General features: G+C 35.7%; 2 annotated features.

Moving 5' to 3' along the window:
- Positions 6,452 to 7,280: an enhancer, noted in NCBI's record as "OCT4-NANOG hESC enhancer chr22:16850460-16851288 (GRCh37/hg19 assembly coordinates)". NCBI's record gives its function as "activates a minimal SCP1, AML or CMV promoter by ChIP-STARR-seq in naive H9 embryonic stem cells {active_cell/tissue: H9 hESC(naive)}" and the evidence as "EXISTENCE:reporter gene assay evidence [ECO:0000049][PMID:30033119]".
- Positions 7,281 to 8,108: an enhancer, noted in NCBI's record as "NANOG hESC enhancer chr22:16851289-16852116 (GRCh37/hg19 assembly coordinates)". NCBI's record gives its function as "activates a minimal SCP1, AML or CMV promoter by ChIP-STARR-seq in naive H9 embryonic stem cells {active_cell/tissue: H9 hESC(naive)}" and the evidence as "EXISTENCE:reporter gene assay evidence [ECO:0000049][PMID:30033119]".

Genomic DNA, 11,114 nt, shown 5'->3' on the forward strand with positions numbered 1-11,114 from the left:
CAAAAGGAATCGAAGTGAATCATCAAATGGAATCGAAAGGAATCATCGAATGGAATCAAATGGAATCATCATCGAATGGAATCGAATAGAATAATCATCAATTAATGGAATTGAATGGAATCATCGAATGGAAACTAATGGAATCATCATCGAATGGAATCGAATGGAATCGTCATCAAATGTAATTGAATGGAATCATCAAATGGAATCGAATGGAATCATCATCAAATGGAATCGAAGTGAATCATCAAATGGAATCGAATGGAATCATCAAATGGAAACGAATGGAATCATCATCAAATTTACTCTAATGGAATCATCATCAAATGGAATCGTATGGAGTCATCGAATGGACTCGAATGAAATCATCAAATGGGCTTGAAAGGAATCATCAATGGAATCGAATAGAATCATCAAAAGTAATCGAATCTAATTATCATTGAATGGAATCGAATGGAATCATCATCGAATGGAAACGAATTGAATAATAGAATGGAATCGAATGAAATCATCGAATGGACTCGAATGGAATCATCATCGAACGGAATTAAATGGAATCATAGAATGGAATTGGAAGGAGTCATCATCAAATGCAATCGAATGGAGTCACCATTGAATGGAAACGAATGGAATCATCATCGAATGGAATCGAATGGACTCATCGAATGAACTCAAATGGAATAATCATCGAATGGACATGAATGGAATCATTGAATGGCATCGAATGGAATGATCATCGAATGGAATCGAATGGAATCATCATCGAGTAGAATCGAATGGAATCATTGAGTGGACTCGAATGGAATCATCATCAAATGGAATTGAATGGAATCATGGAATGGACTCGAATGGTATCATCATCTAATGGAAACTAACGGAATCTTTGAATGGACTCGAATGGAATGATTGAATGCAAGCGAATGGAATCATTAAACGGACTTGAGTGGAATCATCATCTAATGGAATTGAATGGAATCATCATCAAAATGAATCGAAGGGAATAATCATGGAATGGAATTGAATGGAATAATCATTGAAAGGAATCATCTAATGGAATTGAATGGAATCATCATTGAATGGAGTCATCATCGAATGGAATCGAATGGAAGCATCAACAAATGTAATCAAAAGGAGTCATCATCAAATGGAATGGAAAGGATTCATCAAGGAATGGCATTGAATGGAACAATCATCGAACGGAAATGAATGGAATTATGGAGTGCACTCAAATGGAATCATCATCGAATGGAATCAAATGGTATCATTGAATGGACTCAAAAGGAATCATCATTGAATGGAATCGAATGGAATCATTGAATGGACTTTAATGGAATCATCATCGAATGGAATCGAAAGGAATCATCAAATGGACTCGATTGGAATCATCATCGAATGGAATGGAATGGAATCATCGAATGGAATCATCAACAAATGGAATTGAATGGAATCATCGAATGGAATAGAATGGAATAATCATCAAATGGAATCGAATGGAATCATTGAATGGGCTCAAATGGAATCATCATCAAATGGAATTGAATGGAATCATCGAATGGCAGTGAATGTAACCATCATCTAATGCAATGGAATGGAATCATCGAATGGAATCATCGAATGGACTCGAATGGAAATATCATCGAATTGAATCGAATGGAATACTCATGGAATTGAATAGAATGGACTCATCATCAAATAGAATCGAATGCAATCATCAAATGGAATCAAATGGAAACATCAAATGAACTCAAATGGAATCATAGAATGGAATCGAATGGAATCATTGCATGGAATCATCATCGAATGGATTCGAATGGAATCATCGAATAGACTCGAATGCAATTGTCATCGAATGGAACTGAACAGAATCATTGAATGGACTCGAATGGAATCACCATCAAATGGAATCGAATGGAATCATCATTGAATGAAATCGAATGGAATCATCATTGAATGAAATCGAATGGAATCATTGAATGGCATCGGATGGAATCACCATTGAATGGAATCAAATGGAATCATCGAATGGCCTCGGATGGAATCATCATTGATTGGAATCACATGAAATCATCGAATGGAATCGAATGGAATGATCATCAAATGGAATCGAAGGGAATCATCGAATGGAATAGAATGGAATCATCGAATGGAATCTAATAGAATCATCGAATGGATCCGAATGGAATCATAATCTAATGGAATCGAATGGAATCTTTGAAAGGACTCGAAAGGAATAATCATTGAATGGAATCGAATGGAATCATCGATGGACTCGAATAAAAACATCATCGAATGAAATCGAATGGAAAAATCGAAAGGAATCAAATGAAATCATCATCGAATGGAATCATCTCATGAACTGGAATGGAATCTTCATTGAAAGGAATCGAATTGTGTCATAGAATGGACACGAATGGAATCCTCATGGAATAGAATCAAATGGAATCATCGAATGGACTCGAATGGAATACTCATCACATGGAATCGAATGCAATCATCGAATGGAATGCAATGCAATCATCATCGAATGGAAATTAATGGAATAATCGAATGGAATTGAATAGAGTCACCATCAAATGGATTCGAAAAGAATCATCATCCAAAGGAATCGAATGGAATCAACAAATGGAATCGAATGGAATCATCATCTAATGGAATCAAATGGAATTATCGAATGGAATCGAATGGAATCATCATCGAATTGAATAGAATGGAATCATCATCGAATGGAATTGAAAGGAATCATCATCTAAAGGAATCGAAGTGAATCATTGAATGGAATAGAAAGAAATCATCGAATGGAATCCAATGGAATCATCATCAAATGGACTTGAATGGAAACTTCATCGAATGGAATCATCAAATGGACTCGAATGGAATCATCAAATGGAATCATATAGAATCATCAAACGGAATCGAATGAACCATCATTGAATGGAATGGAATGGAAACGTCAAATGGACTCGAATGAAATCATCATCAAATGGAATCAAATGGAATCAGTGAATGGAATTGAATGCAATCATAATCGAATGGAATCATCGAATGGAATCGTATGGAATCATCATCGAATGGAATCAAATGGAATCATCAAATGGCATCGAATGAAATCATCATCGAATCGAATCGAATGGAGTCATCTAATGGATGCGAATGGAATCATCATCGAATGAAAATGAATGGAATAATCAAATGGACACGAATGGAATTTTCATTGAATGGAATTGAATGGAATCATCATCAAACGGAATTGATTTGAATCCTCATCGGATGGAATCGAATGGAATCATCAAATGGAATAGAAAGGAATCATCATCGAATGGAATTGAATAGAAACATTGAATGAAAACAAATGGAGTCATCATCGAATGGAATCAGAATCGAATGGAATATAATGGAATCATCAACAAATGGAATCAAATGGAATCATCATCGAATGGAATCGAATGGAATCATCAACAAATGGAATCCAATGGAATCATCATCAAACGGAATGGAATGGAATGATCAAATGGGCTCGAATGGAATCATTGAATGGACTCGAATGGAATCATCATCGAAAGGAATCTAATGGAAACATTGAATGGACTTGAATGGAATCATCATTGGATGGAATTGAATGGAATCATCAAATGGACTCAAATGGAATCATCGAATGGACTCTAATGGAATCATCGAATGGACTCGATTGGAATCAGCATTGAATGGAATCGAATGGAATCATCAAATGGACTTGAATGAAATCATCATCGAATGAAATGGAATGGAATCATCATCGAATGGAATCGAGTGGAATCATCATCGAATGGAATCAAATGGGATCATCATCGAATGGAATCAAATGGGATCATCATCGAATGGAGTTGAATGGAATTATCAAAGAATGGAATCCAGTGGTATCATCATCAAATGGAACCGAATGGAATCATCAAATGGACTCAAATGGAATCATTGAATAGATTCGAATGGAATCATCATCGAATGAAATCGAATGGAAAAATTGAATGGACTCGAATGGAACCATCATTGAATGGAAACCAAAGGAATCATCATCTAATGAAATGAAATGGAATCATAGAATGGACACAAATGGAATCATCATCGAATGGTATTGAATGGAATCATCGAAAAGAATCGACGGAATCATGATCAAATGGACTCGAATGGAATCATCATGGAATGGAATCAAATGGAATCATCAATGAATGGAATCCAATGGTATCATCATCAAATGGAACCGAAAGGAATCATCAAGTGGACTCAAATGGAATCATCGAATGGAATCGAATGGAATCATCATCGAATGGAATCGAATGGAAACATCGAATGGAATCGAATGGAAACATCATTGAATGGAATCATCATCAAACGGAATCTATTTGAATCCTCATTGGATAGAATCGAATGGAATCATCAAATGGAATAGAAAGGAATCATCATCGAATGCAATCGAATAGAATCATCAAATGAAAAGGAACGGAATCATCATCGAATGGAATCGAATGGAATCATCAACGAATGGAATCGAATGGAATCATCGTCTAATGGAATCAAATGGAATCATCAACGAATGGAATAGCATGGAATCATCGAATGGAATCTCATGGCATCATCATCACATGGAACCGAATGGAATCATCATGGAGTGTAATCTAATGGAATCATCATTGAATGGAATCCAATGGGATCACTGAATTGAATGGAATGATCATCGAATGGAATCAAAGGGAATCATCAAATGGGATAGAAGGGAATCATAGAATGGAATCGAATGGAATCATCGAATGGATTCAAATGGAATCACCATCAAATGGAAAAGAATGGAATCATCAAAAGGACTCGAATGGAATCATCAAGGAATAGAATCAAATGGAATAATTGAATAGACACGAATGGAATCATCATTTAATGGAATCAAATGGAATCATCGAATGGACTCAAATGGAATCATCATTGAATGGAATCGAATGGAATCATCGAATGACATTGAATAGAATAATCAATGAATGGAATCTTAAGGAATAATCGAATGGACTCGAATGGAATAATCGAATGGACTCGAGTGGAATCATCATCGAATGGAATCGAATGGAATCATCAAATGGACTCAAATGGAATCATCATTGAATGGAATGGAATGAAATCATCGAATGGACTCGAGTGGAATCATCATCGAATGGAATGGAATGGAATCATCGAATGGACTCAAATGGAATCATCATCGAATGGAATGGAATGGAATCATCGAATGGACTCGAATGGAATCATCATCAAATGGAATCTAATGGAATCATCGAAGGTACTGGAATGGAATCATAATCAAATGGAATCGAATGGAATCATTGAATGACATCGAATGGAATCCTCATTGAATGGAATGGAATGGAGTCATCAAATGGAATCCAATGGAATCATCATCGAATGGAATCAAATGGAATCATCAAATGGAATCGAATGGAACCATCGGATGGAATCGAATGGAATCATCATCGAATGGAATCGAATTGAATCATCGAATGGAATCGAATGCAATCATCTCAAACAGAATCAAATAGAACCATCCAATGAAATCAAATGGAATCATCATCGAATAGAATCAAATGGAACCATAGAATGGTATCGAATGGAATCATCATCAAATGGAATCAAAAGCAAAAATCGAATGGATTCGAAAAGAATCATCAAATGGACATGAATGGAATCATCATCCAATGGAATGAAATGGAATTAACGAATGGAATCGAATGGAATCATCATCAAATGGAATCAAATGGAATCATCTAATGGACAGTAATGGAATCCTCATTGAATGGAATCGAATGGAATAATCAAATGGAGACGAATGGAATCCCCATCGAATGGAAGTGAATGGAATCATCAAATGGACCCAAATGCAATCATCATCGAATGGAATTGAACAGAATCTTTGTTGAATAGACTCGAATGGAATCATCAAATGGACTCAAATTGAATCATTGAATGGAATTGAATGGTATCATCACAGAATGAATTGAATGGAATCATCGAATGGTCTCGAAAGGAATAATTATCAAATGCAATCGAATGTAATCACCGAATAGAATCGAATGGAATAATCATCGAATGGACTCGAATGGAATCATCATCAAATGGAATCGAATGGAATTATTGAATGGAATCGAATAGAATCATCGAATGGACTCTAATGGAATCATCGAATGGAATGTAATGGAATAATCAATGAACTCGAATGGAATCATCATTGAATGGAAACGAATGGAATCATTGAATGGAATTGAATGGAAACATCATCGAATGCAATCGAATGGAATCATCACCGACTTGAATAGAAAAGAATCATCAGCAAATGGAATCGAATGGAATCATCATGGAATGGAATCCAAAGGAATCATCATTGAATGCAACCAAATGGAATCGTCATCGAATGGACCGAAAGGAGTCATCATCGAATGGAATCGCATGGAATCATCATCAAATGGAATTGAATGGAACCATCATCAAATGGAATCTAATGGAATCATTGAATGGAATTGAACGGAATCATTATCAAATGAATTCAATGTAATCATTGAATGGTCTCGAATGGAATCATCATCAAATGGAATCACAAGGAATAATCGAATAGAATCGAATGGAATAATCATCGAATGTACTAGAATGGAATCTTCATTGAATGGAATCGAATGGAATCATTGAATGGACTCGAATGGAATCATCATCAAATGGAATCAAATGGAAACATCGAATGGACTCGAATGTAATCATCATCAAATGGAAACAAATGGAATCATTGAATGGACTCGAATGGAATCATTGAATGGACTCGAATGGAATCATGGAATGGACTCAAATGGAATCATCATCGAATGGTATCAAATGGAAAAATTGAATTTACTCGAATGGAATCATCAAATGGAATCGAATGGAATCATCATCAGATGGAAACGAATGGAATCATCATCGAATGGAATCAAATGGAATCATCGAATGGAATCAGATGGAATCATCATCGAATGGAATCAAATAGAATCATCATCGAAAGGAATCAAAGGTAATCATGGAATGGAATCGAAGGTAATCATGGAATGGAATCAAATGGAATTATCATCGAATGGGATGGAATGGAATCATCATCAAAAGGAATCGAAGAGAATCATGGAATGGAATCGATTGGAATCATCGAATGGAATCGAATGGAATCATCATCAAATGGACTCGACTGGAATTATCATCGAATGGATTCGAATGGAATCATTGAATGGACTCGAATGGAATAATCGAATGGAGAAGAATGGAATCATCGAATGGAATCAAATGGAATCATCAAATGGACTCGAATGGAAACATCATCGAATGGAATCAAATGGAATCATTGAATGGCATCGAATAGAATCATCAAGGAATGGAATCTAAGGGAATAATCGAACGGACTCAAATGGAATCATTGAATGGACTCGATTGGAATCATCATCGAATGGAATCAGCGAATGGACTCGAATGGAATCATCAAATGGAATCCAATGGAATCATCGAAAGGACTCAAATGGAATCATCATCGAATGGAATTAAATGGAGAAATCGAATGGAGTCCGTTGGAATCATCATCAAATAGAACCGAATGCAGTCATCATCAACTGGAATCGAATGGAATCATCATGATTGGAATCAAATGGAATCATCATGAATGGAATCGAATGGAATCATCATAGAAAGGAATCGAAGGGAATCATGGAATGGAATCGAATGGAATCATCGAATGGAATTGAATGGAATTATCATCGAATGGACTCGAATGGAATTATCATCGAATGGACTCAAATGGAATTATCATCAAATGGAATCAAATGGAATCATCGAATGGACTCGAATGGAATAATCGAATGGAGAAGAATGCAATCAACAAATGGAATCGAATGGAATCATCGAATGGACTCGAATGGAAACATCATCGAATGGAATCAAATGGAATCATTGAATGGCATCAAATAGAATCATCAAGGAATGGAATCTAAGGGAATAATCGAATGGACTTGAATGGAATCATTGAATGGGCTCGATTGGAATCCTCATCGAATGGAATCATCGAATAGACTCGAATGGAATCATCATCGAATGGAATCGATTGAAATCATCGAATGGACTCAAATGGAATCATCATCAAATGGAATCTAATAGAATCATCGAATGGACTCGAATGGAATCATCATTGAATGGAATCGAATGGAATCATCGAATGTCATTGAATGGAATCATCATCGAATGGAATGGAATGGAATCATCGAATGGACTCGAATGGAACAATCATCGAATGGAATTGAATGGAATCATGGAATGGACTTGATTGAAATCATCATCAGATGAAATCGAATGGAATCATCATCGAATGTAATCGAATGGAATCATCCTCAAATGGAATCGAATAGAATCATCATTGAATGGACTCGAATGAAATCATCGAATAGACTCGAATGGAATCATCGAATAGACTAGAATGCAATCGTCATCAATGGGATCGAATGTAGTTATCATCAAATGGAATCGAAAGGAATCATCTTCAAAAGGAAGTGAATGGAATCATCATCGAATGGAATCGAATGGAATCATTGAATGGAATTGAATGGAATCATCATCAAAAGGAATAGAACTGAATCATCGAATGGATTCGAATGGAATCACCGAATGGAATTGAATGGAATCAGCACCGAATGGACTCGAATGGAATCATCATCGAATGTAATAGAATGGAATCATCGAATGCACTCGAATGGAATCATCGAATGCACTCGAAGGGAATCATCTTTTGGAATCGAATGGTATCAGTGAATGGACTCGAATGGAAAATCATCGAATTGAATCAAATGGAATCATCATTGAAATGAGTAGACTGGACTCATCATCGAAGGGAATCGAATGAAATCATCGAATGGAATTCAATGGAATCATCAAATGGACACGGATGGAATCATCATCGAATGGAATCTAATGGAATCCTGGAATGGACACGAATGGAATAATCATCGAATGGAATTGAAAGGAGTCATCGAATGGACTCGAATGGAATCATCGTCAAATGGAATCAAATGGAATCATCGAATGGCATCAGATGGAATCATCATTGAATGGAATCGAATGGAATCATCAAATGGACTCGAATGGAATAATCAAATGGAATCGAAAGGAATAAACATCGAATGGAATCGAATGGAAACATCGATTGGATTCGAATGGAATCATCATGAATGGAATCAAAAGGAATCATCATCGAATGAAATCGAATGGAATCAATGACAGGATATGAATGGAATCATTGTCGAATGGAATCGAATGGAATCATCGAATGGACTCGAATGGAATCATCATCAAATGGAATAGAAAGGAATCATCAAAAGGAATTGAATGGAATCATCATCGAAAGAAATTGAATGGAATCATTAAATGGAATCGAGTACAATCATTGTTGAATGGACTCGAATGGAATCATCGAATGGACTCGAATGGAATCATCATCAAATGGATTCGAATGGAATCATTGAATGGAATCGAATGGAATCATCAAATAGACTCGAATGGAATTATCATTGCATGGAATCAAATGGAATCATTGAATGGAATCAAATGCAATCATAATCGAATGTAATCATATGGAATCATCAAATTGAATCAAATAGAGTCATCATCGAATGAAATCACATGGAATCATTGAAAGCATTCAAAAGGAATCATCATCGAATGGAATTGAATGGAAACAACGAATGGAATAGAATGGAAGCATCATCAAATGGAATCATCGAATGGACTCGGTTGGAATCATCGTTGAATTGAATCGAATGGAATCATCATCAAATGGAAACAAATGGAATCATCATTGAATGGAATCAAATGCAATCATCATCAAAAGGAATCGAATGGAATTATCATCGAATGGAATCAAATGGAATCATCTTTGAATAGAATCAAATGGAATCATCGAATGGAAACGAATGGAATCATAAACGAAGGGAATCCAATGGAATCATCATCAAATGGAACTGAATGGAATCATTGAATGGAATCGAATCAAATCATTGAATGGACTCAAATGGAATCATCATTGAATGGATTTGAATGGAAACATCGAATGGACTCTAATGGAATCATCATTGAATGGAATCAAAAGGAATCATCATCGAATGAAATCAAATGGAATCAATGAATGGACTCAAATGGAATCATCATCGAATGGAATCAAATGGAATCATGGAATTTACTCGAATGGAATCATCATCGAATTGAAATGAATGGAATCATCAAAATGAATCGAATGGAATCTTAATCAAATGAAACCGAATGGAATCATCGAGTGGCATCAAATGGAATCATCATCCACTGGAATCAAATAGAATCATCTAACAGACTCGAATCAAATCATCATCGAATTGAATCGAATGGAATTATCGAATGGAAACGAATGGAATCATCATGGAATGGAATCAAATGGAAACATCAGCGAATGGAATCGAATGGAATCATCAAAAGGAATAGAATGGAATCATTTTCGAATGGAATCGAATAGAATCATCGAATGAAATCGAATGGAATCATCATCAAAAGGAATCCAATGGAATCATCATCAAATGGAATCGAATGGGATCATCATCAAATGGAACCGAATACAATGATCATCAAGTGGAATAGAATAGAATCATGAATAAAGGGAATCAAATGGAATCATCGAATGGAATCTAATGGAATCATCATCAAATGGAACTGAATGGAATCATCATCAAATGGAACCTAAAGGGGTAATTTTCGAATGGATTCTAGTGGAATGATCATCGAAAGGCATTGAATGGAATTATGGAATGGAATCAAATGGAATCATCATCAAATGGAATCGAATGGAAACATCGAATGGACACGAATGGAATCCTCTTTGAATGGACTCGAATGGAATCATCCTCGAATGGAAACGAATAGAATCATCATTGAATGGACTCTAATGAAATCATCAAATAGACTCGAATAGAATCATTGAATGTACTAGAATGCAATCGTCATCACTGGGATCGTATGTAATTATCATCAAATGGAATCAAAAGGAATCACCTTCAAAAGGAATCGAAAGGAATCATCATCAA

The sequence above is a fragment of the Homo sapiens genome, chromosome 22 (genome assembly GCF_000001405.40).
Source record: "Homo sapiens chromosome 22, GRCh38.p14 Primary Assembly".
In the NCBI taxonomy this organism is placed as follows: domain Eukaryota; kingdom Metazoa; phylum Chordata; class Mammalia; order Primates; family Hominidae; genus Homo; species Homo sapiens.